Consider the following 26,275-nt stretch of genomic DNA (forward strand, 5'->3'; position numbering starts at 1 on the left):
AGCACTGCACATGCTGTTGGTGTTCAAAACGGGCTTCGAGCCTCCTCTTGTAAAATGAAGCCAATGTTTGTCTCATTTGCCTCTTTCCAGAAGAAGTCGTGATTTTTTTTTTAATGCAATACAGAAAAAGTTTTCCATTTTTATTCTTTCTACTTTTGCTTCCAGTAATTTTCAGGTTCTCTGTATTCCTGTGTTCTGAATGTGTATGGCACACCAGCAGCCTGAGTTATGGCTGAGTCACTATGATCACCTTAACCCTGATAGATGAACCCAGCTTATGAGGAGACCTGTCTCAGCACATTGCACAGCTCTACCCCGCCCCAAACAGAACACTGTGAAAAGTACAGTCAAGGCCTTGTACTGCCTGGATCCTATACTCAAAAAGTTAATTCTATCTCGCAATATATATTTAATACAATTCAGTTAAGCTTCCTCTAAATAATTCATTTAGTTTAGTTTTTTTGAAATGAAAACCACACTTGATGCTGATTTAGCAAGGCCAAAGCTATGTAGCAAACCTCTTGACTCTACTGAATGGATGAATAATGTTTTCCTTCACATGCTTTAGCTTAAATATATTCCGGGCTGTACAGTCTCTTAAAATTGTAGATATTAGAGTCAGAAAGGACCTTAAAAGTGATTTTGCCTAACCTTCCCTGTGCCTGACAGATGGCCACTCAGCTTCTACCTGAGCAGTTCCAGGATCCAGGTCTCATTGCACTAGCAAACAGCAGATTTCCTGTGCTCAGCTTCTACCTGAGCAGTTCCAGGATCCAGGTCTCATTGCACTAACAAACAGCAGATTTCCTGTAGGAAGAGCCTGATCCTTAGAATGGCCCTTCTCAGATTTGGCTGGAATCTGCCTCCTGTAACATCTGCGCAGTCCTCTTAGCTCTTATCTCCAGAATTGCACAGAATGCGCCTTGCTCCCACCAAAACAATCTACGTATCTGAAGGCTCTTCTTTCTTTTCCTGACCAATAGGTCACTTTTTTGGGTGAATTTAGCATATATACCGCATGCCTGGGAGAACGTTCGCTTTCTTGGGCTTGGTCCTTGGTTGTTCTCTTTGTTGACAGTGGTCTTCTCCAAATGTGACAACTGAACTGAACACAGCCTGCTTTGAGGCGCCACCCATGAAGCATGGAGTGGAACTGTTATTGCACCCCTGGATCTGGATCATCCAGAAAGGAAGGACAAGTGTTCATCCAGTGGGATTCACTCAGATATATATATATACCATGTTTCTTTTTTGTTATTCTTTTTTTTTTTTTTCGAGATAGAGTCTCGCTCTGTCGCCCAGGCTGGAGTGCAGTGGCGCGATCTCGGCTCACTGCAAGCTCCGCCTCCTGGGTTCACGCCATTCTCCTGCCTCAGCCTCCCGAGTAGCTGGGACTACAGGCGCCTGCCACCACGCCCGGCTAATTTTTTTTTTTGTATTTTTATTAGAGACGGGGTTTCACTGTGTTAGCCAGGATGGTCTCAATCACCTGACCTCGTGATCCACCCGCCTCGGCCTCCCAAAGTGCTGGGATTACAGGCGTGATCCACCGCACCCGGCCTTTTGTTATTCTTTTAAGAGATGGGTCTTTCTCTGTCGCCCAGGCTAGAATGCAGTGGCGCAATCAAAGTTCACTGCAGCCTTGAACTCCTGGGCTCAGTGATCCACCCACCTCAGCCTCCTGAGTAGCTGGGACTACAGGCGAGCACTACCACATCTCGCTTTGTTGCCCAGGCTGGTCTCGAGCTCCTGGCCTCAAGGGATCCTCTGCCTTGGCCTCCTGAAATGCTGAGATTACAGGCTTGGGCCCCTGCACCCAGCCCCATATTTCATTTTTACATTCAGTATAATACACCTTGTCATGGCAGTTCTACCATTCCAAGTCCCATGCATTTTTCCTCCTTAATAACATTCTTTGAGTGCTTTTAATATGCCAAACACTGTCCTAAGCATTCTATATACATTATCTCATTTGATCCCAAAATGGCCTTGTGAGAGAAGTGCTGGTACCATAGTACCATTTTCCTCCCCATTTGATAGAGGAGGAAGCAGGTGCATGGAGATATTAAGCAGTCAGCCTTATCTGCACAGCGAGTAAGCAGCAGCACTGGGGTGAAAGCAGAGGCGCATCTGACCCCAGAGCCCAGCTCCTAACTGCTCCTCTCCACATCACCTCCCCCAGTGGGATTCCCATTACATTTGCATTCCTCCTGTTGATCCAGCCCACCCTTGTGCTTACTATGTTGGAAGCCACAGCAGTCACCTCCTGCTACATGTTGAGTTTACAGAAAATTAAATATACTAAATATTTTTCATAGGCAAACAGTTAATTTTTTAAAAACTCTTTCTCTCTATTAGATATTTTCTTCTTATTCATTGGACCCTCAGTTCAGCCTGCGGTTGCTGTTCTTGACTGTGGATGCTGTCAGTCAACCAGGTAGACTCCCAACTATAGCTCATAGGCAAATCTGTTAAGCCAGTAAATCACCATTCCTTAGGCACAGACCTAAGGATCTCCATCCAGGTTATAGCAAATAATTAATCAACACCCTTGGGGCTCTGTTTTTTAGCCTTGTATAAAGCCGTGAAACAACTACCATATGCTCACCGTTGCATGCTCTCCACCACATCCATTCTACTAGCTGCCTTGCAGAAGTCAAGATGCCCCACTGAATTTCTGGAATTGGCCCTCAGGATCCCATTCTAACTCTTGTAGTTCATCATTTTCTCTTTTAAGTGCTCACAAACTGTTCAATAACGTCATCACAAATTTTGCCCCGCCCCCCATCTCTTATCTTTGCAAATCGGAATAGCTGTCTACCTCCTTCAGCTTCTTTCTCATTGTCTGTGTGAATTGATCCTCCCCGCAGAGATCTGTGATCACATATCACAGGTGGAAGCTTTCAGAGCTATAGCCTGTCCCTCACCTGGACTTGGAATGGGAACTCCTTTAAAGGGTGAAGGAGCCCTGTCTACCAGTACCAAGCAGCAGTTCCCACATAGCAGGGCTTATTCTACCATGAGTAGCTTGAAAATCATTCTCCTTGGCAGGAAAGTTGAATCAAAATGGGAGTTGAGTCATTCTGTTCTTTCTGCCACCTCTTGGCACCTGGTCTTCCTTATGCTCCCAACTTCACCTCCAAAGCCCTTTTTGTTGTCCTGGGCCTTCTCCACTAGCCCATCCTGAAGTTTTGCCTTCTTGGCAGTCATTTTACAGCCTCCCAGCTCTCTTTATGTAGCGTGGGTTTTTCCTTTCTCCAGCATCCCGTTCAACTATTGTCTGTGTTCTCTGAAAACCACCCTTAGCAGAAACTGCCTGTGCAGTCACATGGGTGTCTTGGCTCTCCGTTTTTCTCTGTCTCTTTTGAGAATGTGTCTAGATCATCGCTTGCTGTGTTGAATGGGACAATATAGCACTCAGACCATTGCATTGATTGGTTTCTTATTTTTTCTCCATGTGGTGTTTTGCTTCTCAGAGGAATTTCTGATACATGGGCAATCAAGACCTGAGGACATTTTGGTTTTGTGTTGATACTCATTGCTTTTCTGAGTTTCATCTTTCATTTTCCCACCCTGATTATTAAAATGTGTGGAGTTTGTTTGCATTTTCCACAGTTCTGCTAACTACAGAGTTTCTCCTTATCACCTTCTTTAGCAGCCGACCCGGGACGCTGAGACTTCTTATGGGTACCCACCACTGGGTCCTTTCACTCTCAGGAGGACAGAATAAACCTTGTTTATTTTCCCGTGGCTCCTCAGAGGGATCCTCCTTCTGTCTTAAATCATCTTAGCAATTGCCTTTTTCAACACCAGAGGAATATCTTTCTGTGTCTGCTGCAGGCTGATGGTCCCAGTGGGGAAGCCCTTCCTGCTGGGTAGCTGTTAAATCCATTTTGAAAAGCATACAGACAGTCACACCTGCCAAATACCAGCGGTGTTGATACAATACAAATTTATTAGTTAAAGGTTTATTCACAACCTTTTGGTAGCACTGCAAATGCTAGTCAGTGGCAAATGTTCATTATTCACAGTTTATAGATAGGAAAATTGTCACCGAAAACAAACAGTGGATAGAGAATTCCTGTGCTTTCATCATTCTGCCTTCATTTTTTACCCAGAGGTGTCTTCGTGGAGCGGTGTAGACCAAGGGGATGAGTGTGTAAGGAAGATGCCCAGACCTAGCTTAGTAGGACTTTATGTGGCTCTTGAAATTTGTTGTTTCTTTTATTTATTTTCTGATGATGATGAGTCAAGGAGCAAGCTTAAAGACCAGCCCTTAAAGGGTTTGCATTCAAAATCAGCAGTCTCACCAAGGGAGAGTATAGGCTACATTTGTGTGTGGTGTCATTAAAACCTTTTCATTTTGGAATAGGTTTAGACTCCCAAGAAATTACTGTAGTAGTAGAGTGAGTTCCTGTGTCCCCTCCCCCAGCTTTCCCCCATGACAGCATCTCACATGCGTAACTATGGTGCCATGTCTTCTTAATGTCTTTGCCTGTCAGAGGAAGGTTTAGTTGATGCTACTGGAGGCTCAGTCAGAACATAGTCGGAACACAGAACGCAGATAATAGCCACATTTACATTGAGCTACTGAATGCCAGGAGGAGCTCTGGCTGAGTGCTCTGGTGCCACTCAGCTCTGGGAGCTGCCCCAGTGACTCTTACTGTCACCTTTTCACAGATGAGGGAGCCGGACTGCATGGGGCTTATGTTCAAGATCACATGGCAGTGGAGAGACTTGGGTCCAAGCCCTCACCCAGTGGTCATGCTCCTTCCCCTGCAGGTCTCACCTGTGCATCTGGGGCTCAGATGGGCACTGTTGGCCAGTCTCTACACAAGGGTCAGATTTCACTTCCTCCATTGTTGCAGGGTGAGTGAGGTCCTGCTCTCAAAGCTGTCAAACCTGGTGGGGCAGCTGCGACTAACAGAAACACTGAGATGTTGAAATGATCATTAATTCCCTTCTGTCTCATTTCTGGGATGCTTAGTCCCTGGCTCAGGCGTGGCAGCAGCAGGTTTATAGTTGAAGAATCTCTTGTGGCTCTCATGCTGACTGCTGGGAGTGTGAGAGGAAGAGTGCTGCTGGAGGGCCCGCCTGGGTGGGGGCAGAGCAGCAGGTGGGTATTCAGACCCAGCTGACATGCCAGAGGACAGTTCAGAGGCATTTTCTCAAATCCCACCCTTGGGGTTATCCTGCAGGATTGGACCTTTCTTCAGGAGGCCCGATTCGAAATCAAATCATTATGTATCAAATATCACTGCCACCTGCCCACTCTTTAAATATCCACATTGCCTCTGTGGTTGTGGTGGAAAAGGAAGGCGTGGGGAAGGGAAAGGGCACGTCAATCTCAGTTGTTGCATTTGGTGCCAAGTACAACAGAAACCAAGGGCATTTGAGCTCAGATGACCTTGGTAACTTGATCTCTCACATTCCATGTATTCCAGCCAAAGAAATAAACACCAGAGTGTAATGTCTAAGAGATACTGAACACTTTTGCTTTTATGGAATGCTTCCACATGACCTGAGCCTCACTGCAGACTTTACAGGTGAGGAAGCTGAGCTTCAGGGAGGGTAAGCAATTCCTCTAAGGTTCTCCACTTAGTACTTGGCACAGCCAAGATGGGGACCTGGATCTTGGGGGGGCCCCAGAGTGTAGCAAGGACTTTGGTGTTCTGTGGACCTGGGTTCTTAACCTCGACTCTGCCACTAACCAGTTTTGTGGTCTTCTCTAGGACTCACTTTCTTTAACTTTTAAATGGGCATAAACAGGATGTGGCCTCATCAGGATCTTATGAGGGAAGAGGGTGTGATGCATAATAAGAAGAGCTTGGCTGAGTACCTGGCACAGAGGATAACCAGGAAACGTTAGCTGTTAGTACTAGTCCAGTTAGAAACGAATCTGGCTACAATTATTGCAGCAATAAAGCAATGGTTGACTTAAACAAATGGTAGTTATCTTTCACACACAATACAAAGTCAGAAGGCAGGCATCCCCAGGCTGGCCAGGAGCAGCATGATGATAGTAAAGGCTGTTTGCCTTCCTTCAGTCCATTCTGCTCTCCACAGAATCCTGGTTTGCTGCCTCATGGTTGCAAGATGGCCATCACTGCTCCATCCACCAGGCTTGTGGGGAAGAGGTGCGGTAGCAGTCACATTTTCCCCCTTTATAAGGAAAGCAAAAGCTTTCCCAGAACCCCACCCAGCATGGAATCACAGCAGACATCTGCTTTTTTCATTTTGGCCTGGACTAAGTGCCACAGCTGCAAGAGACACTTAGAAAATGAGCATTAGCTTTTCAGATTCAGTCATACAAGTGGCAAGGAAGAAGGCAAATGAGAATGGGAGTAGACCGACCAGTTGGATTTGCCACAGCCCTTCCTGCCTCTCACACTGTCATTTTAAAAAAAATTTTGCATTGGTCCTCAGGTGCATAGGGCTTAGTTCATCCTAGTCGTGTGCCAGTGGCACATGAGTGGCAAAGCCCCTTTTCTAGACTGATGGCCTTTCCTGCTCGCAAGTGTATGCTGTTTCATGTACGTGCATCGCTTAAGTTTTTAAATGAAACATAACATAGATACATTAAAGTGCACAAGTCTTTGCTAGATGGCTCAAAGGATTTTTATGATTTATCCCCATGAAAGTACATTCAGATCAATCTATAGAACAGTCCCAGCATCTCAGAAACCTTCCTGTTTCTCTGCTGTCTGTCAACACTCCCTCCCAAGGTGACCATTATTCTGATCTCTATCCCCATAGGTCAGTTTTGCCTGTTCTTGGATTTCATTGACATGGACTTGTACATGTGTGTGTGCACTTCGTGGACCTGACTTCTTTGGCTGACCTGTGAGAGTCATCTGTGTTACTGTGTGTGGTTGTAGTTCATCTGCTTTCTCCGGTACTTTGTCTCTCTACGCAGACCTGGTATTAGTAGCATTGTGAGAACCAGAGTAGCACAGAGATGGAAGTTTCCTGTTTCCATTCATAGAGTGTCATTTCCTCCTAGAAACCACCCCCTCTGATTTCTTGCAAAGCTTGCCTGTGCACTGCCCTCTCCAGCAGCAAGCTGCTATCAAAGGAATCTCTTGGGGACTTGTATATTGGCTTTGAATGCTGTCAGCAGGAAGAATTTTCTTGAGCACTTCTTCATTTGGAGAGGATGGAAGAAGAGAGTTAGAGAGGGATGCTTTCGGGAAGGACATTTTTAGGCAAAGGAAAAAACAGCAACTGAAGGCGTCATTGGGAACTGGAACCTGGAAGCCAGCCTTCTGAGCAGAGATTTACATCATTCTTCTGTGTTCCTCCCCTTCGAGCAGTCTCAATTCAGGGCTCAAGGGCAAAAAAGACGCACGGCAACTCTGCCTGTCTTAGGGCTGGGCAACCTAGTTTGAGTTCAGACTGACTCTTGAGAAGTCTCCCTTCCCCCAGACAGTGGGTGATGGGCTTTCCTTATCAAAGCTAGTGTGGCTTTCTTACAAAAACATTGCATGGCAGGACAAACCTGAGAGCAGTGAAAAAAGCTGATTCTTTTCAGGGGAGTCTTAAATGAAGATGAAATGGATTAGTTATTCTTACAAGTGTGGGCATGTAGGTAAGTCAGGGATCGAGTAGAAAAATGAAAAGTATGCAGTTAGCTCTGATGGTTTTCATCATCATCTTTCCTTTAGGTATCTGCTGATTCTGTGCCTTGTGTCTGCTGGGATAATGTCCCAGAGTATTCAGCTAAGACTTAATCAGGGATCCTGTTTGCTAAAATGGAATATTTTATTAAGTTTATTAGGTAATTTCTGTATCCCTGGCCCTTGCTAGGGGCTTTGCAATGTATTATTTCAGTTATTCTCTGCAGGATCAGGGAAGGTGGGTAGGATTATTCCCATTTTACAAGTGAGTAAATGAAGGTTAGTAAGTAACAGGTAGTAAGAAGTAAGGCTGCTAGTCTAAACTAGGTCTCATATTCCAAAGGCTGCATACCTTCTGCACCACCACACTACCTTTTAAAATAACCCCTTGCTTTTCTGATGCACCAACCCTCTCGTGGTTCCTTGCCTTCCTTCACCTCAACACTCCTCAGTGTTGATCCAGTGAGTGGCCGGTTTTAGAACAGCCGAAAGCTGTAAATACCTCCTCACTTATTTTGATTCAGCTGTTGAAGCTATACTGTAACACTGCACAAATCTTTACTAGATGGCCCAAAGGATCTGTTACATTTTATTTAAAATATTTAAAATTTTAAAGCCAAATAGCACAGTGGAAAAGATCTTCATGGAGAATAAGGAGTCGCTGGTTTCAGTCCTAATGTCACTACAAATCAAAACAAGGCATAAAGCTGGGCGTGGTGGCTCACACCTGTAATCCCAACGCTTTGGGAGGCTGAGGTGGACGGATGGCTTGAGCTCAGGAGTTCGAGACCAGCCTGGCCAACATGGCGAAACCCCATCTCTACAGAAAAAAACAAAAATTAGCTGGGTACGGTGGCAGGCTTCTGTAATCCCAGCTACTTGGGAGGCTGAAGCAGAAGGATCATTTGAGCTCAGGAGGCAGAGGTTGCAGTGAGCCAAGATCGCACCACTGCGCTCCAGCCTGGGTGATGGGAGTGAAACCCTGACTCGAAGGAAAAAAAAGACTTTGAGTGGACCGTGACTATCCAGTCCAATCTTTTGGCTTCCCTGGGCCACATTGGAAGAAGAAGAATTGTCTTGGGCCATGTGTAAAATAAGCTAACACTAACGACAGCTGATAAGCTAAGGAAAAAATCGCAAAAAAATCTCGTAATGTTTTAAGAAGTTTATGAATTTGTGTTGGGCTGCATTCAAAGTCATCTTGGGCCACATGTGGCCCATGGATGGGCTGTGGGTTGGACAAACTTACTGTAGAACTAATGTCTGTGTGCCTCAGTTTACCTTGTGTGAAATGAGGAAGTTGAAGTATGTGATTCTTGATGTTCCCACCTGTTCTAAAAACATGAGCTTCTATGACCTTTTTTTGTAATTCTAATATGGGTGGAAAGTACAAATATTTATTAAAGGAGCCTTAATTACTAAGTGCAAATCCAGAGAAGTGGATAACATTGAGGCTTTCAAAATTTTTTGAAAGAGATATAAGTTCTTTACTTTTCCAAGTAAAGCTTCATTTTCCATTGCATTTCCCAGTCTGTCATCAAAAAAGGGTATACGTTCTTAGATAATTTATAGTAGAGCTTAGAACCCTTGAGGGTCTGGCAGACTTTAATTTTGGATAAATTGATGTAAAATATTTGCCAATAGCCAACTTCAGGTTCCCAACCCAAATATAAATCCCGTAGACGAGTATGTAATACAAACTGTTCTAAATTATACCTGGTACTGTTGAATAGAATCAGGATGATATTGAGCAACTCTGAAAATAACAAATAAGATGCTATTATGACCTAATTACTTAAGAATGTGCTATACTTAAATAAATTGTTACTAAATCGTTTTAGACCCAGTAAAGACAAAACTGGCCACACAAGTGACTCGGGAGCATCTGTTATCAAGCATGGACTTAATCCGGAGAAGATCTTCATGCAGGTGCATTATTTAAAGGTAAGCACATGTCAGTTGCAGAAGCCAGTGATTGTGGTGCAGCACTTTTTAGGCCACACAATTAAACAATGATGATTAGTAACAAGACTGAGGTGAAAATACTGTAATGATATCTGACTGGCCAGATATCTGAGCGTTCAGTAATTAAAGCACTTCATGCCCAAAAAAGGAGACCAAGTTAGGAAAGACTGAATGAACAAAGGCTGAAATATTCCCTGCCCTGTACCTCTGTTCTCCCTGCCTGAGGAGCAGAACTCTCACTTTGCTGTCAGGTTCCAACTGAAAGACATGGGTGAGAAGGAAGTGTTTTCTGTCGTGAAGGCCTTTCCTGGTAGGGGGAGTAGAGAAGAACTGGGTCTCTCTTCTCTTTTCATCTGCGATGGACAACCAGCCTTCATGTGAACCAAGTCCAAACAAAAATGATGACAACATTAACAAAGGAGTTGAGAACTAATTAATTTCCAGGCCACGCCTTCCTGGTGAAAATGGAAAGGGCAGCCAGGGACAGGTAGGACGGCACATTCTAGATGCACAAGTGCACTATGGGTTAGGTAGGGCTGACTATATAACCATTTTTTTATGAACTCATGGTAGGCCTCTTTTTCTCTCTCTTTTTTCTTTCTTCTAGGGCTACTTCCTTCTTCGGTTTCTTGCCAAAAGACTTGGAGATGAAACCTATTTTTCATTTTTAAGAAAATTTGTGCACACATTTCATGGACAGCTGATTCTTTCCCAGGTAACTTATGGGTCCTCATGAGTCCATGATGTATGACTGGAGGGGGTATGGCACATGAAGATTAGATTATGCCAGTATTAAAGAGTAGGGAAAAGGTTTCCCATTTAATGCAGTGGGAAAAATAGGAAGTTAATGAAATGGACACAAAGAAAGGGTTGCTTCAGGGAAGGTGATCTCTCTGTAGTTTTGAAATAAACTATAACCCAAAGCTGTCTCGTACACAGTGATAGTTAAAGACAAAAATAAAACAATCCTGCCGTTCTCTTTACCTGGACTTATCTTTGGAAGACTGCCTCCTTCTTACCTTCTAGTTTTCAGTTTGAACGCCACAGGCTCCAAGTCACCCGGCTAAACAGATCTGCATCCAGGCTCACGTGTCCCACCCCTTTGCCCTTTCCATTGCCTTCATTGTCATTGCCATTGTCTGTAATTATGTTTTCATCATGGGGCTATTTGTTTCTTTTCGCTGTCCTCCACTCTACGTATATGCCCAACAAGGCCAGACCATTCTATTTCACCAGTACTTAGCACATGATTGGCACACAGTAGGTACTCCATAAATATTTGATCAATAGATTAATAACCAGATACACTGAAATATGCAGACAGCCTGGCCACAAAACTATCAGAGAGAGACCCTGTCAGCTCGTATGGGCATGGGGCCAAGCAGCACATAGCAAGGAAGTTAACAAGGAGTGGCAGGCTCTGAAAAATGACACTCATAACTAATAGAAAATAGGTGATGCATCCTTAGCATAGATTGGACTAATGGACCTTTTTCATATTTGATAATTGTGCTCATATACAGCTGTGAGTCTCATTATCTCCAGTGTTAGATGTAAAGGATGTGCACGTATAATTTGAACACAGATGGAAGAATCACATGAGCGTAACAAGACCGGATGGCTGTTCCTCTATGTTCTTTTTATTTTTGTACTGGGTGTGGGGAAAATCCTCCCTAAGCATATATTTGGAAAAGCAATTCGAAAACTGGTTCAGAAGTCTTACATGCTTGGTTGACTGATTAGTACAAATTCCTACTGCTTGAAGCCACTTCTCACCAAGAGACTGCAGTGTTAAATAAGTGCATTGTATTTACCATGACTTCGGAGGTTTTGATTTTCACTTCCCATGGAACTCTTACTGCTCTCTTAACCAAACTGTTCAGTTCTTCGTTTGCTTCTCTCTTTTTTGTTGTTTTTTTGTTGTTGGAGACAGATTCTCCTCTGTCGCCTAGGCTGGAGTGCAGTGGTGCGATCGCGGCTCACTGCAACCTCCACCTCCCAGATTCAAGTGATTCTCCCGCCTCAGCCTCCCGAGTAGCTGGGATTACAGGCGCTTGCCACGACACCCTGCTAATTTTTGTATTTTTAGTAGAGATGGGGTTTCACCATGTTGGCCAGGCTGGTCTTGAACTTCTGACTTCAGGTGATCTGCCCACCTTGGCCTCCTAAAGTCCTGGGATTACAGGTGTGAGCCACCACACCCAGCCCGTTTATCTCTTTTGAAAAGCTTCATTGTTTCTTCATAGCAACTTTATTGAGATAAAATTCACATACCATAAAGTTAACCCTTTGAAAGTCTACAAGTCAGTGGTTTTTGGTATATTTACAAGATTGTTCAACCGTCATCATTATCTAATTTTAGTACATATTCACCAAACCCAGAAGAAATCATTAGCAGTCATTTCCCCATTTTTACTCCCCCAGCCCTACATAACCACTAATCCGCTTTCTGTCTCTATGGATTTGCCTTTTCTGGACATTTCATATAAAAGAATCATATGCTTTGAGAACTTTTGTGTCTAGCTTTATTAACGTAATGTTTTCAAGGTTCATATAGCATGTATCAGTACTTCATTCTTTTTTATTTTAATGTTCATTTAATTGTAATAAAATATACAAAAAAAATTTACCATTTTAGCCATTTTTAAGTTCACAGGTCAGTGGCATTAAGTACATTCACATTTTTGTGCGATCATTACCACCATCCATCTCCCATACCATTAATATTTCATCATGATAACCCTCCATTCTTTCCTCCCCCAGCCCCAGCAACCGCCATTCTACTTTCTGTCTCTGTGAGTTTGACTCTTCTAGGTACCTCATGTAAGTGGAACCACACAGTATTTGTCCTTTTGTATGTGGCTTACTTCACTTAGCATAATGTCTTCAGAGGTCATCCATGTTGCAGCATGTACCAGAATTTCTTCCCTTCTTAAAGCTGAATGCTCCATTGCATGTATATATCACATTTTGTTTACCTGTTAATTCTTTCATGAACATTTGCATTTTTTTCATCTTTTGGCCATTGTGAATAATACTGCTGTGACCATTAGTGAATAAAATATCTGTTCAAGTCCCTGCTTTCAGTTATTTTCAGTATATACCCAGAAGTGGAATTGCTGGGTTATACAATAATTCTATGTTTAGCTTGTTGAAGAATTGCCATACTGTTTCCATATTGGCTGTGCCATTTTACATTCCCACCAGAAATGCACAAGGCTTCCAGTTTTTTCACGCACTTGCCAACACTTAATGCCCTCTGGATTTTTTTATTATTGCCATCCTAGTGGGTGTGAAATTATAGCTCATGATGGTTTTGATTTGCATTCTGTGATGGCTAATGATTTTGAGCACTTTTTATGTGATTATGGGCCATTTCTTCTTTGGAGAAATGTTTATTCAGATTATTTGCTGATTTTAAAATTTCGATTGTCTTTTATTATTGAGTTTTAAGACTACTTTATTTGGATATAAGTCCCTTATCAGAGATATGATTTTCAAATATTTTGTTTTATTTTATGTTTTGTGTTTTTACTCTCTTGATGGTGTCCTTTAGAGCACAAAAGTTTTTAATTTTGATGAAGTCCAATGTATCTATTTTCTCTTTGGTTTATTATGCTTTAAGTGTCATAACTAAGAAACTGTTGCTTCATTAAAGGTCACAAAGATTCACTCCTATGTTTTTTTTTTAAGAGTTTTATTGCATTAGCTCTTATATTTAGTCCTCTAATCTGTTTTGAATTAATGTTTTTGTTTTTTTTGAAATGGAGTCTCGCTCTGTCACCCAGGCTGGAGTGCAGTGGCGCGGTCTCGGCTCACTGCAAGCTCCGCCTCCTGGGTTCACACCATTCTCCTCCCTCAGCCTCCCGAGTAGCTGGGACTACAGGTGCCCGCCACCACACCTGGCTAATTTTTTGTATTTTTAGTAGAGACAGGGTTTCACCATGTTAGCCAGGATGGTCTTGATCTCCTGATCTCGTGATCCACCCACCTCAGCCTCCCAAAATGCTGGGATTACAGGTGTGATGAATTAATTTTTATATATGTTGTGACGATTACAGTCCAACTTAATTTTTTTTTGCATGTGAATATCCAGTTGTCCCATAAACCATTTGTTAAAAAGACTGTTCTTTCCCTCCATTGAATTGCCTTGGTACCCTTGCCAAAAATTAGTTGATCATTAATGTAAGCATTCACTTCTGGACTCCCAATTTGATTCCATTAATCATTATTTCTATTCTTGTGCTAGTATCATATTGTCTTGATTACTGTAGCTTTGTATTAACTTTGGAAATTATTGCTTTTCCACCTGGCATATACTCATTATAAAAAATTATAAGCAATGCAGAAAAATACAAAGAATGTGAAACATTACTCAAAATCCCACCACCCAGAAATACCTATAATTAATATTGTGTGAGTGACACTCCAGAAATCATACTATTTATCCCTCAATGTTTATATGTTATACATGATATATATACATGTATCTGTGTATGTATGTATATATGGCATATGTGTGTATACAGACATTGATGTCACTGGACAGAAATAATTTTATAAAAATAGGATTATATTATATGTGCATTTTAATGAAGTGTTTTAAATTTTCTTTTACTTGAATTTAATGAATGAAAAAGCAACTAAAGTGGAGATAACTTCCCAAACTTAAGATAAATGTAAGAAAGATTATTTTCTAAAAGAATTTTTTATGGTTAAGAAACATTATTATAAAAGAATTAAGAGGTTGAAATTATTTTTTCCCTTTACCTATATATTCCATTTGTAGAAAACATCAGTTTATTCACTACTGTAAAAGATGAGGAATTGGCCGGGCACGGTGGCTCACGCCTGTAATCCCAGCACTTTGGGAGGCTGAGGCGGGTGGATCATGAGGTCAGGAGTTCGAGACCAGCCTGGCTAACATGGTGAAATCCCATCTCTACTAAAAATACAAAAATTAGCCAGGCATTGGTGGTGAGTGCCTGTAATCCCAACTACTCAGGAGGCTGAGGCAGGAGAATAGCTTGAACCCAGGAGGCGGGGGTTGCAGTGAGGCGAGATCACGCCACTGCACTCCAGCCTGGGACAGAACGAGACTCCATCTCAGGGAAAAAAAAAAAAAAGATGAGGAATTAAATAGTTATGTACTTTAACTACTTTCCCCTTAATTCTAAATTTTTCTTAATTATTATTTTTATATATTAAGATTTATTTCATTTACAAAATTGACTATAACCATAATTTTCACAGTTGTGTAATCTTGGCTTGTTAAAGGATTTCAGTATTTACCACCAGTTATTTTACCTTTTTTCATGAATATTTTATTTTGATTCAGCTCTTTGCTGGCTGAATTTCATTATCAAATTTGTGTTCGTTGCAGACTCACAGGCTCTATTTCTGAGTTCTTACTGCGTAAGAATGCTTGTGGGCCGGGTGCGGTGGCTCACGCCTGTAATCCCAGCACTTGGGGAGGCCAAAGTGGGCAGATCACGAGGTCAGGAGATCGAGACCATCTTGGCTAACACGGTGAAACCCCGTCTCTACTAAAAATACAAAAAATTAGCCGGGCGCGGTGGGGGGCGCCTGTAGTCCCAGCTACTCGGGAGGCTGAGGCAGGAGAATGGCGTGAACCCGGGAGGCGGAGCTTGCAGTGAGCCGAGATTGCGCGCCACTGCACTCCGGCCTGGGCGACAGAGCGAGAATCTGTCTCAAAAAAAAAAAAAAAAGAATGCTTGCCTGTTTTCTTTATATTTGAATTATAAACTGACTGGATATAATATTCTTGGGTCACATTTTCATGCCCTCAAAACTTTTTAGACATGGCTCAGCTGCTTTCTGGCATTAAATCCTGCTGTGGAAACTTCTGCAGTCATCCTGCTTTTCCCCCTTTCTGCCTCTTAGATGACAGAAGAATTCTTTCCTTATCTTTGAAGTTTAGTAATTTTATCAGGAAATGGCTTGGTGTCTATGGTTTTCTATCTTTTTTCCCCCTGGAAAAATAGTGTGCATTTTTATTTTTAGTCCTAGATTCTATTCTTTCCTCTTTCAATAAGTATGTCTTCATTGTATTTTTGAATTCGTTTTTCCCCCTTGCAGGGTTCTGGATTTCAAGGTTACCAGTTTTCCTTGTGTTATGTCATCCTTGTCCTCTATACCTGTTATTTTCCAATTGCGTTTATCTTTTTCTTCTTCATGACCTGTATTAATCCGAAGCAACCCCTTTATTGTTAGTGTTATTTTCCTTAATGTCTGTTCTTTTCCTTGACGTTTCTATTAGTGCTCTTGTACTGGTCCTTAATTTATTACCTTTGCCATGAAATCTCTATGTTCTTTTCATTTTGTTGTTTTGTCAACTTATCTTTGAGCTTTCATTTTACCAAATTTATGTTTTTATTTTTTCTGTAGCTGTTAATTTATTTTATAGTGTAAAGTATTCATGGAGAATTTTCTTCTATTCCTTGGATTATGTTTTCTTCAAGGCGGGATTCCTTATCTTTTATGTGTTATGCTGCTTTCTTTCTATGTGAGTTGTTGTTGTGTTAGTTTGCATGGTTGCCATACGTTTCTTTTTGCTCATTCTCAGCTTGGGTAGCACTCTCCTGACCTTTCGTTTATTCTCATATGTATTGGAACATTATCTTTGATTCCTTTTCCAACTTGTGCTATGCCTGTTTTTCTCTCCCTCTGAGCTACAGTTTGAAACTTGGATGTTATGTGTACAGGGGAGGAGGAGAGAAGCTCCACTGGAGTTGTATACAGCCTTTGTTGGGAAAATGTGGCTGTGCTGCTCTTGAAAACTTGTTAAATGTCCCCTGCCAAGATTCTTGTGACCTAATATGGGTGCAGCTTTTTCCCACTGTGTTAATATTAATTAATTCCCTCTCAATTAATATTGTTCCTCCAATTTAGGTGACAGCCCTAGAACATGAGCAGTTCACCGAAGAGAGTCATCCTCAGTTGTTTATTTCCCACGTTTTACTCATCTCTTGCCAGCAAACACTTCCAGCCCCTCCACAGGCAAAAAAGAAGACAGACAAAGATATTCCTATTTTTTCCCAAATGTGTGGATATTTGTGAGAATTTGCCGGGTTTGTGCAGTTCACCAGTACTGCTACTGCTAAGCATGAGGCTGGGGGTCGGTGCAGAGGGAGAGTTAGAAGCTGTGTTTGAATCTTAGATTTCTTCCTTAGTTGCATCTTCTTGAAGTTTATGCCATGAGGCTGTCCTTGTTTGAATGCTGCTGGTTACATTTTTAATTACTTTAATGGTTTGTGTTTTTGTGTAAATTGCTAGTTAGTTATTGATGATGAAGGTCTATGATCCAGTTTCTTTACTCAGAAGTCCCTAAAGTTCTTCCTTTTCCAGTTTACATCTTAATCCTTTCCCTTCCAAATGCCCTCCCTGTCCAGCATTTCAATATTATCATCTTTTTTTTTTTTTTTTTTTTGAGACGAAGTCTCACTCTGTCACCCAGGCTGGAGTGCAGTGGCGTGATCTCGGCTCACTGCAAGCTCTGCCTTGTGGGTTCACGCCATTCTCCCGCCATTCTCCTGCCTCAGCCTCCCGAGTAGCTGGGACTACAGGCACCCGCCACCACGCCTGGCTAAATTTTTGTATTTTTTAGTAGAAATGGGGTTTCACCGTGTTAACCAGGATGGTCTCGACCTCCTGACCTCATGATCCGCCCACCTCAGCCTCCCAAAGTGCTGGGATTACAGGCGTGAGCCACCGCATCCAGCCAATATTATCATCTTTGTAGCCCCCACTAAAAGCCCTCTCTTGAGTGTAACAATAACTTCTTCCTGACAATTTCATTTCTTCTCAGTTTTTATCTTGCCAATCCTGTCCTTCCTTCAATATTTTGTTTTGCCTCTACTACCTCCCACCCCTTCCCCATGAACATGATAATTATTCATAAAATACTCGACAGAAATTGCTAGCCCCATGTAATAGTCAAGCCAGTGTCAGTTTATCCAGTAGAATCTACATGTACCTGCTTTCTGTTGAATACTTTCACCAGGACTAAAAAATAGTTACCAAATTAGCCATGTGCCAAAATCAGTGTTAGTTTTTCAAAAATGTGTAGTGTTTAATTTAGTGTTGTTAGGTGTTAATCAAAACAAGCTGTATGCGATGGACCTGATTGGCATATAGATTATTAGGACAGTAGGAAATGAAAAAAAAATTCTAAAGGAATGTATTTTCTGATTGGAGTGTGGGCTTGTAACCATCGCCAAGGGTCCAGATAGAATTTCATCCCCTTCATAGATTTAAATAAATCTATTGTTTTATCAATAGATTTTGGGGAGTGGGGGTGGGCTTTGGTTTTAATTTGTTTTCAGGCACACTGCAGAGGTGACAAGCTGGGGCCCCTACTATTTGTTGCTAGCTAACTTTGTCAAATTTTTCTAGAATCAGCTATGAAAAAAGTCTTCCTTGTCCAAATAAGATTTATAATTTGCTTTCACAAAACTGCCAATACACTGTAGGAAAGAAAGAAGACAGACGAAAGAATTGAAAAGAGGTGGTGCAGGAAGGAATAATCATAAGAGACATTTTTCTTTTTATTTTCTTGTGCTGTAGAAAGTGGAAAAAGCTTCTGTCATAAGTCCACTTTAGAGGTATATGCCAATTTATGAAAAGAAACAGGAAAACTAGTGTTTCATGGTTAAAGATGGAATCTATGACAGGAGTAAGAAGGGCCAGTGGGTTAATTCCATTGATAGATGGTACAGAGACTGCCTGGATGAGACCAGCTATCTTGAATGGGATGGAACACAGAACAGAAGAATATCGAACGCTATAGAAAGACATTCCCATAGCCTGTGGGAATGCAGCCCCATGTCTTAGAGATGCCCAAGGTGTTAGGATTTTGCGATCCCCTGGGCCTGCCATCCCCAGCATCGCTGGCAGCCTCCAGCTCACTGCTCTGTTGCCTGCAGGCCTGAGCTCTGAGGTAGGAAGAGGCAGGTGCTCCAGGATCACAGCCCACTGGGAGGCAGGACAACCATCTTCCTTCAACATGAAGCAGGGTTTCCGGGGCCTCCTGCGCTTACCCTGAACTCAACACCCAATTCTGGATACTTGTGCTCTGCAATCCTGTACAGAAGGATCCAATTGTAACTGGAAAATGCAAAAGGGCAGAATTAAGGTTAACTCTGAATTTCCTGCTTCTCATGCAATTAAATTCCCCCCGTTGCCATTGAGTTAATGTAATTTCCCCCCATATAATTGAGCATAAATTACCAGGCAAATATAGGATAAATTAGTATAGGCTACAAGGAGATAATGAAGTAAACTTAGTAAAAAGTTATCATTACAAGTACTTGGACTTTTTTTTTTTTTTTTTTTTTTGAGACGGAGTCTCTCACTGTCGCCCAGGCTGGAGTGCAATGGCGCGATCTCGGCTCACTGCAACCTCCGCCTCCCAGGTTCATGCAATTCTCCTGCCTCAGCCTCCCAAGTAGCTGGTATTACAGGTGCCCACCAACCCACCCAGCTAATTTTTTGTATTTTTAGTAGAGACGGGGTTTCACTATGTTGGCCAGGCTGGTCTCGAACTCCTTACCTTGTGATCTGCCCGCCTTGGCCTCCCAAAGTTCTGGGATTACAGGCGTGAGACACCACACCCGGCCCCTACAAGGACTTGGATTTTTAAGAATCAAAAATCCTATCCACAAGCCAGTGAGAAATTAATCTACAAAGTTATCTATTAAGATACTAAATTTATAAAATAATATATTAGATTGTGATAAATGTCTAATTCAACTTTTTTGCAAAATAATTTTTAAGTAATAAAAATGATAACTAAGAACCTCACGCACAAATAATTCTTTGCATTCTAAATACTGCTCGTTTCCTTTGGTATTTTTCTCTGTATATCCACTGCAGGTGCAAGGAACGACTTCAGTTGTGAGGCATCAGTCAGTTTGGGGTTGTCCCCCCGCTCCCATTTTCTTTGCGTGGTCCATTTTTTTAAACATTAGTTTTATTACTGTTTGTATTGTTATTTCACGTCAAACAGCAATAAACAAGTAAAGTCTCAGAAGGAGAACAGACATTACAAGAAATAAATATTTCATTAATGCTTTTAATAGGGAGACTTTGTCTCCGGAAGAAATGGACTGTGACCACCCATGAACATGTAGAAATCAGACAGCCAGCTTCACTAGTGTAGTGGTAGCTGTATTTCTGTGTGATGATAGAAGAAGAACACCTTGTCATACAAATGGTTTGCAGATTTCTATCCCTCTGTAATTCTAGCTGTTCTGTAACGTGAAGATCTGTGCTACTGCTTCCATCTCACAGTTAAATGGGTCTCATCAGAGTCCTGTGTGAAGTCTGTATCTGCAGACTTGGTTCTATTGGGAGGCCTCAGTCTGCAGTTAAATGGGTGTCATCAGAGTCCTGTGTGAAGTCTGTGTCTGCAGACTTGGTTCTATTGGGAGGCTTCGGTCTGCAGTTCACTGGGTGTCATCAGAGTCCTGTGTAGAGTCTGTATTTGCAGACTTGGTTCTATTGGGAGGCTTCGGTCTGCAGTTCGCTGGGTGTCATCAGAGTCCTGTGTAGAGTCTGTATTTGCAGACTTGGTTCTATTGGGAGGCTTCGGTCTGCAGTTAACTGGGTGTCATCAGAGTCCTGTGTAGAGTCTGTATTTGCAGACTTGGTTCTATTGGGAGGCTTCGGTCTGCAGTTCACTGGGTGTCATCAGAGTCTTGTGTAGAGTCTGTATTTGCAGACTTGGTTCTATTGGGAGGCTTCAGTCTGCAGTTAACTGGGTGTCATCAGAGTCCTGTGTAGAGTCTGTATTTGCAGACTTGGTTCTATTGGGAGGCTTCGGTCTGCAGTTCACTGGGTGTCATCAGAGTCTTGTGCAGAGTCTGTATTTGCAGACTTGGTTCTATTGGGATGCTTCGGTCTGCAGTTCACTGGGTGTCATCAGAGTCCTGTGCAGAGTCTGTATTTGCAGACTTGGTTCTATTGGGAGGCTTCGGTCTGCAGTTCACTGGGTGTCATCAGAGTCCTGTGTAGAGTCTGTATTTGCAGACTTGGTTCTACTGGTAGGCTTCAGTCTGCAGTTAAATGGGTGTCATCAGAGTCTTGTGTGGAGTCTGTATTTGCAGACTTGGTTCTATTGGGAGGGCTTAGTCTGGAGTGACTCTTGTCTGTCATGTTTGGGCAGACCCATTTTAAAAGATTATTTTCTATTTATTAAAATAAAAACTTCAAGTATAGATCTTACTTGTTACTCATTATCATCAAGTTCCAAGAAAGTTAAATATTGTTCTTGTTTGTTTCATGTTCTGTATTTATCCAAAGTATACAAAGTATATCTTATTAAATCTTCAGATGAGGAAAGGTTGACACTAGGATTACACACTTAGCAAATAAAAATACAGAACAGAAAAATCAGTAAAATTCAAATTTCAGTTTAATAGCGAATAATTTTTTAATGTAGTTATGCCCCCAATTTTACTGGGCATCTCTTCTTATTTGACAACCCTAGTTAAGAACAAATCAAGATTCCAGAATGAAATGGGCTGGAAAAGGGGGTCACAATATTCACAGTACAAATTAAATATAAACGAACATTCATATTCGAATTTTTTAGGTCTTTATGCTTTTGTGGTATGTTTTAAGAGTAAATAAGAGATATTTACTAAAACCTTTATTGATGAAATTATGTAATGTTTGGGACTTGGTTCTATATAACACAGGAAGAGGGAAAGTGGATAGGGCGGGATGGGCTGTGCATTGATGGGTATGTGAAAGTTTTGTCTACTTTTGATTGTGCTTGAAATTTTCCATAGTAAAGGAAAATAAAATGTGCGTGTGTGTATGTGTGTGTAAGCCATGCCTTTAGGTTTAAAAAACTTATCATCTAAACATCTCAAATGTCCAGTGACCGAGGACTTGTACAAGGGCATGAGAAGAGGCTACAGATGGAGGCAGGGGCTTGTGAGCCATGCTTGGAGTTGTGGACATCTTTGTTCCTTGATGGCATATTTATCATCTTGATATTTATCTTTACCATTTGGTAGAGCAACGCAAGAGAGTTGCAGTTAGTTCCTAGACTCTAGGAGTACAGGAATCTCTAGGGAAGGTTCAGGAATTGGAGGCGATGGGGGAGTAGAGAGGGATAATGCTTTACTTGATGGCCAGCCTTTTGAAAATGGCTAAACACAAAACAAAATAGACTGTTGGATTAGGTCAGAATAATAAACATTCCACTTTTTAATGTGTTCTTGGTTTTTACAAAACAGATCTCTTTCAATGATTCGATTGAAACCCTGGGAAATTAATAAGTTGAGTCTATAGTCTTTTAAGTCAGCATAGGTCTAGCTTCTCAAGCAGGTGAGCTGTCAGTAGCTGGGAGCACTCAGCCTCTGGCATGGTTCCAGGCAGAGTTATTTATTGATGGACATCTTTAATGATTTGCTTTTTTTAATCCCAGGATTTCCTTCAAATGCTACTGGAGAACATTCCAGAAGAAAAAAGGTAAGGACCAATTTAGGAATTTTGGAATTAAGAGCCCAGTTTTAATGTTAAAAATGACATTGCCATTGGTTGGCTTGTCACAGCCTAGAAAGCTCAGTCTTTCTGTCTAATAGAGGCAAGGACCTAGTTCTGCCAGTGGGAGTACAGGATCATCAGCCAACCTTTGGGATGAGCCCCAGTGGATATTGGGAGCCAGTGTGCACGACTGAAGATCCCCAAAGTCAGGAGCCCCAAAAGTGATATGGGAGGCAAGCCAAGCGCAATCTGTGGCCTTTGCTGCTGCGGAAAGAATGGAAGAGAGGAAGGTTAGAAAACTCAGGGTAGCTCTAGTTAATGTGGCTTAATGCAAGGAAATACTGTTTAATTAAAAGAAAAAATGTAGTATAGTAGTAAGAGCTTGGGATGTAAAATCAGGCTCTCCTAGATTTTTAAACCCAGCTCTGCCACTTCTTTTGTTTGTTTTTTGAGATGGAGTGTCACTCTGTCACCCAGGATGGAGTGTGGTGGCAAGATCTCGGTTCACTGCAAACTCCACCTCCCAGGTTCAGGTGATTCTCCTGCCTCAGCCTCCCAAGTAGCTGGGACTACAGGCATCCACGATGCCTAATTTTTGTATTTTTAGTAGAGTCAGGGTTTCACCATGTTGGCCAGGCTGGTCTTGAACTCCTCAGCTCAGGTGATCCGCCCGCCTCAGCCTCCCAAAGTGCTGGGATTACAGGGGTGTGCCACCACACCCCACTAATTTTTGTATTTTTAGTAGAGTTGGGGTTTCGCCATGTTGGCCAGGCTGGTCTCAAACTCCTGACCTCAAGTGATCCACCCGCCTTGGCCTCCCAAAGTGCTGGGATTGCCACTTCTTAACTGTGACATTTGGAGCAAGTCACATAATCCCCCCAAATTTTAGTTTTTTAACCTATCAGGGTTTTAGAGAGGATTAAAGGAGCTAGCATACGTTTTAAAAGTAGCTGTTCAATTAATGATTGGTGTAGATAAATTATAATCCTCTGTGTATCAGGCACTGGATCCAGGATCTAGATACAGAAATCATTTAACTCTTACTACAGTGCTGTTCAGCATCATCATGATAGTGATTATTATAAGCCAACACTGAAGTTGAGCACATACAGACACTCATTTAATCCTCAAAACAACACTATTTGGTCCATGATGTTTTTATCCCGATAATACCAACAAGAGGACCAAGATACTGAGAGGCTGAGTAAGCTGCCCAGGATCTCACAGCTGTATGCAGCAGGCTGGGATTTTAGCCCAAGCAGTCTGGCTCTAGAACCTATGCTCTTATCTACTTTGTTACAAATGGGGAAACTGAGACTCCAAGATCACTCAGCAAGCAAAACAGCATAGATGGAATTAGGCCCATCTGGATCTGGCCCGTGTTTTTTCAGTACACTGCTCAGCACCAGCTCACTGCCCTGGAAGGAGGGAGATTCTCATTTTTGGAGGTATCCAGTTTTAGGCTGGCTGACCACCGACAGGGTTTGCAGAGGGGTCTTAGAACCAATGTTTGGGGTTAAAATACGCTCATTCCAACCCTCTCCTAATTTCCTATCTTGATTTAGGCGTTAAAAAGTGAATACCCTGAAACATAATTTCTTTTTTTTTTTTTTTTGAGGAGTCTTACTCTGTCACCCAGGCTGGAGTGCAGTGGCACGATCTTGGCTCACTGCAAGCTCCACCTGGATTCAAGCCATTCTTCTGCCTCAGCCTCCCGAGTAGCTGGGACTATAGGCGCCCGCCACCACGCCCGGCTAATTTTTTGTATTTTTAGTAGAGATGGGGTTTCACCGTGTTAGCCAGGATGGTCTCGATCTCCTGACCTCGTGATCTGCCCGCCTCGGCCTCCCAAAGTGCTGGGATTACAGGCGTGGGCCACTGCGCCTGGCCAACATAATTTCTAATAGCAAAATTGGTATTCAAACATTAAACGGAGGCATCTTGAGAAATTAAACATTTTTTGAAGAAGAGTTAACATTGCTTGCCTCATTTCTGACCCACAGTTTTAGCTATGTTTTTATGCATGGAACAGATTTCCAAGTGTGGAAATGAATTCTTTGACACAGACATAGACTTAGATTCATGCAGGGCCAGTAACCTCCATGTTGATGAGACTGTCTTATAGGCAGTGTGAATTGGGTGTCTCCAGGGTACAGTGTCAGGGCTTATGCTACCAGACTAGGTGGAGGAGATGACATGCAGATTCAGGAGAGGATCCAGGGCTCATGAGGACGTGGAGGTTTTGTTCTAAGCATTGGGTTTTTGTTTGGCTTTTTCTGTGTAAACTTCTCTTTCACCTTCCATTCAGAATGGCTCCAAATTCTTTCTTCAATAGTGGAAGTATTATTGTTAGTCAGGTTTTTCAATACTTAATAGTGGTCTGTATTTGTGGGTGCATGTGGTATTTTGGTGCATGCATACCATGTGGAATTATCAGACCAGGGCAGCCGGGACATCAGTCACCCCAGACATCCACCCCTTCTTTATGTTGGGAACATTTCACTTCCTCTCTTCCAGCAATTTTGAACAATGCAACAAACTACTGTTAGCTTTAAACACCCAACTGTGCTATCAAACAGTAGATCTTACTTCACTAATGTGTTTTTATGCCCACTATACACACACATTAAGCAAGCCAGGCATCATAAAGGATTAACATACACATATTTGATACATTTCTTTGTTTCTACCTTTTCATGTTCATTCCTTTTGATGCTGAAGAAATCTTATGCAGGGAGATTGCGTGGGGCCTTAGAAATTGGCCAAGATTTCCAAGGCCCCACGCAGTCTCCCTGGATAAAACTTTGTCTAAGTGTTTCAGGAGGCTGCTCAAAGGAAATGTGGCTTGTTTTGGGAGGTCTGAAATGTTTTCAGATTTGCTGTCTTGAAAAAAAAAAAACAGACATATGGGATTTCTTCATGCAAAAATCCCATCACATGTGGCTGTTAAGATCAAGAAGACAGTTTACCTGCAGGATATATTTTTTCCTTTTCTTCGTACCTACCCCGGAATAACTTTTCAGGTCCTCTCACAGAATGAAGCAGTTTCCTTAGGAACTAAAACCGAGAAAAAAAGAAAATTAATAGAAATGGTGTATTACTTTCTTAGACTGTTACCAAAGTCTGTTTCTGAGTGGTGACTATGCATTCTTTCAAAAGAACTTCTTAGGGCATAAATATAGTAATTTTCACTGAAGCAATAAAGTGCATTTTTAGTTTTGGAGGTCTCTCTTTTAATCCTCTTCCTAATAAGGTTATGGAGTTCATTTGGATGGCCCCTGAGCCCTCTGGCTCTGGGGGAACCTGGATTTTATCATTGTGAATATTTATTGAGGCTGCACACTGAGCCCACAAAGAGACTTTTGTTGTTGTAATTGTGGAACTTAAGAGCAGTGTCCCTGTCTTAATGGTGGCCCCCAATCACCAATCACATGCCTTTTGATAGGATACCTCTCCCGGTTAGGATCGTGTTTTGTCTAGCAGGCTTAAGCTTCTTTTTAAAAAAATCTCCTTAAAAGCTAAGGAGATTTCATTTTTACAATGAATCGATTTCAGCAGGTATACCAGAATATATTTTGAAATTCAAAATCTTTTTGCCTGCTAACTAATCTCAGAATCTAGTTCAGCTATTAAAACAGACTGTTTACCCTATTAGTTATGCGACATATTGTACCAATTTTATCTAGGTCTCCAAAGGCCCCACACCTACCCCCCGGAGCCTCTAATCTTTGGCCTCTGTTGCAAACTGATCCTTGGGCACATCTGTTAGGCACGTGAACTGTTCTGATGAGGCAAGGTTTTTCAGATTAGACCAGTCTGTCAGTGTTCAGGGGCCGGCACTCTCTAGGCCTTACTGCCTTTGCATTGTTCTCTTGCTTTGATTTACTCAACATTCTCTATTGAGCATCTCCCATACCAGGCTTTGGGCTGGACACTGGGGAACCTAGAGGAATAAATCCCATGAGTAGCCCTAGGAGGCTCCTAGCCGACTACTGAAGACAAAACAGAAACAAGTCATTATGACTCCATGTAGGAAGTGCTCTGCTGAGGTTCAGAGTCCTGGGGACACAGAGAGGGTCCATCAGTCCCAGCTCTGAGCCTTCAGGCACCTGTACCTCTAACGGGCTTAAGGAAGGCAGTGCCGTCAACAGATTGGAAAGACACCTGCCGAGGGCAGT

At 42.2% G+C, this 26,275-nt stretch overlaps 1 protein-coding gene across 46 annotated transcripts in view, besides 3 other annotated features; it reads left to right on the forward strand.

Moving 5' to 3' along the window:
- The window catches only part of AOPEP (aminopeptidase O (putative)), a 423,526-nt gene that overhangs the window by 219,021 nt on the left and 178,230 nt on the right, over positions 1-26,275 (forward strand). For 38 of the 46 annotated variants that reach the window (NR_169862.1, XR_929854.3, XR_929853.3 and 35 more), the window contains 3 exons: positions 9,458-9,560; positions 10,189-10,296; positions 22,039-22,082. The exons of 1 other annotated variant lie outside the window; for it this stretch is intronic. Coding sequence is in view for 33 of the 45 variants with exons in the window: in XM_011519121.4 (XP_011517423.1) it covers positions 9,458-9,560; positions 10,189-10,296; positions 22,039-22,082 (255 nt within the window). In the remaining 12 variants the exon portion in view is untranslated. Of the gene's footprint in view, positions 1-5,444; positions 5,547-9,457; positions 9,561-10,188; positions 10,297-22,038; positions 22,083-26,275 lie in introns of those variants that run through there. 7 more of the 46 variants (NR_169863.2, NR_169864.1, NR_169865.1 and 4 more) reach the window with 2 other exon arrangements.
- Positions 4,715-4,893: a silencer, noted in NCBI's record as "fragment chr9:97712716-97712894 (GRCh37/hg19 assembly coordinates)". NCBI's record gives its function as "represses an EF-1alpha promoter that drives an FKBP-Casp9 reporter gene in an ReSE screen in K562 erythroleukemia cells {active_cell/tissue: K562}" and the evidence as "EXISTENCE:reporter gene assay evidence [ECO:0000049][PMID:32094911]".
- Positions 6,794-7,023: a silencer, noted in NCBI's record as "silent region_20058". NCBI's record gives its function as "represses an Ori minimal core promoter by ATAC-STARR-seq in GM12878 lymphoblastoid cells {active_cell/tissue: GM12878}" and the evidence as "EXISTENCE:reporter gene assay evidence [ECO:0000049][PMID:35858748]".
- Positions 20,128-20,422: a silencer, noted in NCBI's record as "tiled region #10357; K562 Repressive non-DNase unmatched - State 11:FaireW". NCBI's record gives its function as "represses a minimal TATA promoter and a strong SV40 promoter by Sharpr-MPRA in K562 cells {active_cell/tissue: K562}" and the evidence as "EXISTENCE:reporter gene assay evidence [ECO:0000049][PMID:27701403]".

The sequence above is a fragment of the Homo sapiens genome, chromosome 9 (assembly GCF_000001405.40).
Source record: "Homo sapiens chromosome 9, GRCh38.p14 Primary Assembly".
Lineage (NCBI taxonomy): Eukaryota > Metazoa > Chordata > Mammalia > Primates > Hominidae > Homo > Homo sapiens.